Source organism: Homo sapiens, chromosome 1 (assembly GCF_000001405.40).
Source record: "Homo sapiens chromosome 1, GRCh38.p14 Primary Assembly".
Lineage (NCBI taxonomy): Eukaryota > Metazoa > Chordata > Mammalia > Primates > Hominidae > Homo > Homo sapiens.
Window position 1 is genome coordinate 244931096 of NC_000001.11, and position 7779 is coordinate 244938874.

The window sequence follows — 7779 nt, forward strand, 5'->3', positions numbered from 1 at the left end:
TGCAATGGGAAGACCTTGGCTCACTGCAACCTCTGCCTCCCAGGTTCAAGCGATTCTCCTGTCTTGGCCTCCTGAGTAGCTGGGAATTACAGGCATGCAGCTCCATGCCCAGCTAATTTTTGTATTTTTAGTAGAGACGGGGTTTCACCATTTTGGACAGGCTGATCTCGAACTCCTGACTTCATGATCCACCCACCTCGGCCTCCCAAAGTGCTGGGATTACAGGCGTGAGCCACTGCACCCAGCCTATTTCAAGTTTTCAAAATAACAACCAAGAATACAAAGGTCAGCCGGGCCCGGTGGCTCACGCCTGTAATCCCAGCACTTTGGGAGGCCGAGGTGGGTGGATCACGAGGTCAGGAGTTCAAGATCAGCCTGGCCAAAATGGTCAGGCCAACATTCCAACCAATGTTTTGTAAAAGCAATGGCAGGTAAGTGGCCTCCTCTCTAGAGCTGAAGCTTTTTGCGCTTGCTTTGGTGTCATGCCCACGCAGCTAACTCGTTTCCTCAGATTCTATTCCATTCCATTTCTTTCTTTTCTTTTCTTTCTCTTTCTCTTTCTTTCTTCCTTCCTTCCTTTCTTCTTCTTTTTTTTTCTTTTTTTTTTTGAGACAGAATTTCTCTCTTGTTACCCAGGCTGGAGTGCAATGGTGTCATCTCTGCTTACTGCAATCTCCACCTCCCGGGTTCAAGCAATTCTCCTGCCTCAGCATCCAGAGTAGCTGGGACTACAGGCATGTGCCACCACGCCCATCTAATTTTGTATTTTTAGTAGAGACGGGGTTTCACCATGTTGGTCAGGCTGGTCTCGAACTCCTGACCTCAAATGATCTGCCTGCCCCAGCCTCCCAAACTGTTGGGATTGCCGGTGTGAGACATCGCTCCCGGCCCTCAGATTCCATTTCTATGCTTTCTCTCTGGTTCACATTCAAAAGTCCTGAAGATAAAGGATCTGATTAGGTCAGTTCATCACCATTCAATATGGATTACTCCTGCTGTGTGGGGAGATGCGTGTACCAGGCCACCTCATGGACGGAGGTCTGCTTTTATAGCCCACTGGCTTTGGTGGAGCTGTTTCAGAGTACAGTCTGGTGTGGCCAAGGTTACAGCATTATATGATGCAAAGTAAGGTGACAGGCGCGAAGCATGCTCATGTCTTAGAAGGAAAATATGGGCAAGGCATATACGTAGCACTCCATGGACCATCCACTCTCCTCGGTTTCATTTATTTATTTATTTATTTTTCACTTTGGGATGGAGTGTCACTCTGTCGCCAAGGCTGGAGTGCAGTGGTGCAATCTTGGCTCACTGCAACCTCCGCTTCCTGCGTTCCAGCGATTCTCCTGGCTCAGTCTCCTTAGTAGCTGGGATTACAGGCACTTACCACCACTAATTTTTATACTTTTAGTAGAGACGGGGTTTCACCATGTTGGCCAGGCTGGTCTCGAACTGCAGACCTCAAGGGATCCACCTGCCCCGGCCTCCCAAACTGCTGGGATTAGAGGCACAAGCCACTGTGCCTGGCCTCTCTTTGGTTTTATACACCTAAAGAGAAAGAGGGAAAGCAGGATAAACATTCACCTGCAGTCACTAAGAAATCCAGACAAGAACTTCCTTTAAAGATGTCCTTGTCAGTGGAGAGGAAGTTCATCTTCACATTTTCCAGGTGGATCAGTTGGTGTTCCCCAGACCACCAGGTTTGCACTTGTGCATGCTCGAGGACAACAGAGAAGGTTCTAGAAGCAGCTTTTCTGCACTACTTGGAGCTTTCTTTTCGTTTAAAGATGAATTGTTTGGTTGGATGCAGTGCTCATGCTTGTAATCCCAGCACTTTACTCCTAAAGTGGGAGTAAGTGGGAGGATCTCTTGAGCCCAGGAGTTCAAGACCAGCATGGGCAACATAGGAAAACCCTGTCTCTACAAAAACATAAAAATAGAAATAAAATGATTAATTGAGGTCAGGCATGGTGGCTGATGCCTGTAATCCCAGCACTTTGGGAGGCCGAGGTGGGCAGATCACTTGAGGTCAGGAGTTTGAGATCAGCCTGGCCAACATGGTGAAACCCTGTGTCTACTAAAAGTACAAAAATTAGCTGGGTGTTGTGGTGCATGCCTGTAACCTCAGCTACTTGGGAAGCTGAGGCAGGAGAATTGCTTGAACCTGGGAGGCAGAGGTTGCAGTGAGCCGAGATCACGCCACTACAGTCCAGCCTGGGTGACAGAGTGAGATTCTGTCTCAAAAAAAAAAAAAAAAAAAGATTAGTTGCTGGATGAAAGGTAAGCAAAAACAAGCAAAACAAAATAAAAAACAGTGGTATTGCTTTTGCTTTTAAGACGATGACAAAGGTCATCGTATTTACAGGAATGAAACTGTGGCGAGCTGGGTGCAGTGGCTCACTCCTGTAATCCCAGCACTTTGGGAGGCTGAGGCAGACGGATCACCTGAGGTCAGGAGTTCAAGACCAGCTGTGCCAACATGGTGAAACTTCGTCTCTACTAAAAACACAAAAATTAGCTGGGTGTGGTGGCAGGTGCCTGTAATCCCAGCTACTCGGGAGGCTGAGGCAGGAGAATCGCTGGAACCCGGAAGCTGGAGGTTGCAGTGAACCGAGATCACACCACTGCGCTCCAGCCTGGGCGACAGAGCGAGACTCCATCTCAAAAAAAAAAAAAAAAAAAAAGAAAAGAAAAGAAAAGAAAAGAAAAAAGAAAATGCGGCCAAAATTTTTATAGAATCTGGGATTCCTGTGATGCTGTGTTCTTGAACTGTTTCAGAGCCTAGTCTGGGCACCTATTTTTAAACTTTAAAAGGCAGGTCATCGAAGCCCTTCAGAAGGAGGGAAAGGAAGCCAGAGAATAGGTGTATCCAAAAGTGCTGTAGGAGGAACAGGCCTTTCGCTATGTTTAATTCAAAAGCAGATATCTTCAAGCCTCTAGGAATATCGTCTATTGTCATTGCTGGCAAAATGTCCATCTGTCTCTGAAAACCTCCATAAGATGTATGTGTATTTGCAACAATTCCAAGCAAGGTAAGGCCCTTATTTCCTGTGGAAAGTAGTACCAATATGGAAGGCAGCCTGTGACATGGTTTCTTTTTCTTTCCTTCTTTTTTTTGAGTCAGAGTCTCACCCTGTCACCAGGCTGGAGTGCAGTGGCATGGTCTCGGCTCACTGCAACCTCTGCCTCCCGGGTTCAAGCGATTCTCCTGCCTCAGCCTCCTGAGTAGCTGGGACTACAAACGCACGCCACCACACCTGGCTAATTTTTTTTTTTCTTTTTGTTTTTGAGATGGAATCTGGCTCTGTCGCCCAGGCTGGAGTGCAGTGGCGCAATCTTGGCTCACTGCAAGCTTCGCCTCCAGGGTTCAAGTGATTCTCCTGTCTTAGCCTCCTGAATAGCTGGGATTACAGGCACCTGCCATCGCGCCTGGCTAATTTTTGTACTTTTAGTAGAAACGGGGGTTTCACCATCTTGGCCAGGTTGGTCTTGAACTCCTGACCTCATGATCCACCCGCCTCGGCCGCCCAAAGTGCTGGGATTACAGGCATGAGCCACCGCGCCTGGACGACATCGTTTATTTTTCTATGCCTCAAAGCAAGCTGACCAATTTGCCAATGTATGTTGCTTAAGTTGTTGGGTCACTGAAGTGTTCTTACTATACAAAGTCAGTCCCAGATCTTTCAATTTCGGTGTACCCCTCACAGTGTCTAATATGATGCTATGTACTAGGATTTCAATTTACATGAAACAAATTGGGATTGAATATCTATCTTGTGCCAAGCACAGTGGTAAGCACTGAAATAGCAAAGTAAGTTAGATATATTCCCTAACCTAAAGTTACTCATATCTACCAGAGAAAGCAGCCCCAATAACAACCAACTATGATGTAGTACAAGGTGTGCTTGTTAGAGATATTCACAGCCTGCCACCTTCACCCAGTTAAGGGAGGGATGACCTTGTTTCACCTATTCTAAGATGTACATTATTGTCTCTGAAGTCCAGATGCATCTTACAATAGATGGTGTCTCACAATTATTATTATTATTATTATTAATTTTGAGACAGGGTCTCACTGTCACCCAGGCTGGAGTGCAGTGGCACGATTTCGGCCCACTGCAACCTCTGCCTCCAGGACTCAGGCAATCCTCTCACCTCAGCCTCCCAAGTAGCTGGGACTACAGGTGCATGCCACCATGCTCAGCTGATTTTTTTGTATTTTTAGTAGAGATGAGGTTTCGCCATGTTGCCCAGGCTGGTCTCAAACTCTTGGGCTCAAGCGTTCTGCCTGTCTCAGCCACTCACAGTGCTGGGATTACAGGCGTGAGCCATTGTGCCGGGTCTCACAATTATTATTGACAGGTTTTTTCCTTAATGATGCACAAAACAATGGTTCACCCCACAATCAATGACATCTTCAATTAAGCATGTTGAGGCTGGGCGCAATGGCACACGCCTGTAATCCCAGCATTTTGGGAGGCTGAGGCAGGTGCATCACTTGAGGTTAGGAGTTTGAGACCAGCATGGCCAACATGGTGAAACCCCATCTCTACTGAAAATACAAAAATTAGCCAGGTGTGGTGGTGCACACTTTGGCCTCCCGAAGTGCTGGGATCACAGGCATGAGCCACCATGCCCAGCCCACTTTTCTAGCTTTCTGGCTAGTGATACGCCTGCTCTGCCTCAACCCTCCTTCCCCCAAAAATCTTTAGCAAAAAGGAATTCCTGAATGCTTTAAAATCTTGTAGATTTTCTCATACTGCCCTCTTAACCTGAAAAGGCTTTTTCCTTGCATAATATAATAACTAACACTTGTGCAATGCATTGCAACTCACAAAGGGAGGCTTTCTTATAAACGCTCATTTTAGAGGCTTCATGTCAGCAGTTAAGAGCTGTAGCCACACCCCTGGGTTTTAATTTACCACTTACTTGCTATGTAACCAAGGGCAATTAATTCAACTTCTACAGGTTCCTCACCTTTAAAATGGGGATAATAATAGTATCTTATTTCCCAAGCTTGTTGTGAAGTTTAAATGAGTTAATACATTGCCAGACGTGCAGTTTACATGAAATAAGTGTTCATTGTTATTTGTCTTTGCAGCACGCTCACTGTTAAGCAGCAAACAGTCCAAAGTCTCTGAATTTAGGGTTTAGGTTCTGGGCTTATAAGAGATGGATTCCACCATAGCACATTGCTTTTCTATCCAGCAAGAATCCTACTCATTCTTCAGAGACCCAAGCTCAAGAATCACTTTCTCTATGAGTCTCTCTTCACCTGTGTGTGACCCTGCTACAAAATCAACAATCAACAATCAACAACATGTTTTTTTTTTTTTTTTGAGACAGTCCTACTCTGTCTCCCAGGCTGAAGTGCATTGGTGTGATCTCGGCTCACTGCAACCTCCGCCTCCCAGGCTCAAGCAATTCTCCTGCCTCAGCCTCCTGTGTAGCTGTGATTACAGGGGACAGAGGTTGTGGTCAGCTGAAATTATGCCACTGCACTCCGGCCTGGGTAACAGAGTGAGACTCTGTCTCAAAAAAAAAAAAAAAAAGAACTTAAGATAGAACCACCATTCAACCCAGCAATCCCATTACTGGGTATATATCCAAAAGAAAATAAATTGTCCTACCATAAAGACACCTGCACTCACATGTTAATTGCAGAACTTTTCCCAATAGCAAAGACACAAAATCAACCTGATGGGCATCAGAGGCAGATTGGTTAAAGAAAATGTGGTATATATACACCATGGACTACTACGCAGCCATAAAAAAAGAACGAAATCATGTCTTTTGCAGCAACATAGATGCAGCTGGAGGCCATTAGTTCCTAGGCAAATTAATGCAGGAATAGAAATCCAAAAACCACATGTTCTCACTTATAAGTGGGAGCTAAATGTTGGGTACATATGGACATAAAGATGGCAACACTAGACACTGAGGACCACTAGAATTGGGAGGGATGGAGGGATTGGAGGGATTGGGAGGGATGGAGGGATTGGGAGGGATGGAGGGATTGGGAGGGATGGAGGGATTGGGAGGGATGGAGGGATTGTGAGGGATGGAGGGATTGGGAGGGATGGAGGGATTGGGAGGGATGGAGGGATTGTGGGGGATGGAGGGATTGTGGGGGATGGAGGGATGGAGGGATTGGGGCAAGGGTTAGAAAACCACCTATAGGGAACTATGCTCAGTACCCAAGTGACAAGATCAGTCATACCCCAAACCTCAGCATCACACAATATGCCCAGGTAAAAAACTTACACATGTACCCCTGAAGCTAAAATAAATGTTGAAATTATAATCAAATCAAATAAAATGTCTTTCAAATATAAATCCCCTATTCTTCATCCTTACCACTGCAGCCCTCCACTGCCTGGCCTGCACTAAAGAGCCAGCTTCCCACTGGTCACCCTACCTTTCGTCCTGCCCACTTGAATCCAGCTTCTCCACTGCCTCCTATCATCTTTCTGAATCACAGGTGTGATTGAGTCACTCCCCAGTTCTAGAATCTATAGATGTTGTCTATAATCTATAGATAACATTTGAAATTCAATATGAGATATACAGCATTTTGCAATCTGGCATTAACCGAATTTTCTAGCTTTCTTTTTTTCTATTTTCTTTCTTTTTTTTTTTGATATGGAGTCTCACTCTGTCACCCAGGCTGGCGTGCAGTGGTGCAATCTCAGCTCACTGCAACCTCCGCCTCCCAGGTTCAAACGATTCTCCTGCCTCAGCCTCCCGAGTAGCTGGGATTACAGGCATGCGCCACCACACCCAGCTAATTTTTGTATTTTCAGTAGAGAGGGGTTTCACCATGTTGGCCAGGCTGGTCTCGAACTCCTTACCTCAGGTGATCCTCCCACCTCGGCCTCCCACATTGCTGGGATTACAGGCATGAGCCACCACACCTGGCCAATCTTGTTAAAATCTTTGAGCTATCTCCAAACTGCTTTCCACAGTGGCTGAACTAATTTACATTCCCACCAACAGTGTAGAAGTGTTCCTTTTTCTTTGCAGCCTTGCCAGTATCTGTTTGTTGTTGTTGTTGATGTTTTTACTTTTTAATAATAGCCATTCTGGGCTGGCATGGTGGCTCATGCTTGTAATCCCAGCACTTCGGGAGGCCAAGGCAGGCAGATCACGAGGTCAAGAGATCGAGACCATCCTGGCCAACATGGTGAAACCCTATCTCTACTAAAAATACAAAAATTAGCTGGGCATGGTGGCGCGCACCTATAGTCCCAGCTATTCAGGACGCTGAGGCAGGAGAATCACTTGAACAGGGAGGCGGAGGTTTCAGTGAGCCAAGATTGCACCACTGCACTCCAGCCTGGTGACAGAGCAAGACTCCGTCTCAAAAAACAAAACAAAACAATAATAATAATAGTAATAGCCATTCTGACTGGTATAGGAGGGTATTTCATTATGGTTTTGATTTGCATTTCCCTGATGATGGTGAGCATTTTTTCCATATATTTGTTGGTTGCTTGTATGTGAAAGACATTTTAGATAGAAATCCAAGCCAACTTAGATGAAAGCAAAAGTACCTCTCCTCCAACAGCTCATGTGAGGCATAGAAACGTATCATCAGAGGGCAGGTCAACCACATAGTACTGGAGTCCAGGGCAGGGATCTGACATCCATGTACTGCCAGGTAAACTTGCCTTGTTCATCATGACATTCTCATAGATATTTTTATTTTATTTTATTTTATTTATTTATTTATTATTATTATTATTGAGACTGAGTCTTGCTATGTCGCCAGGCTGGAGTGCA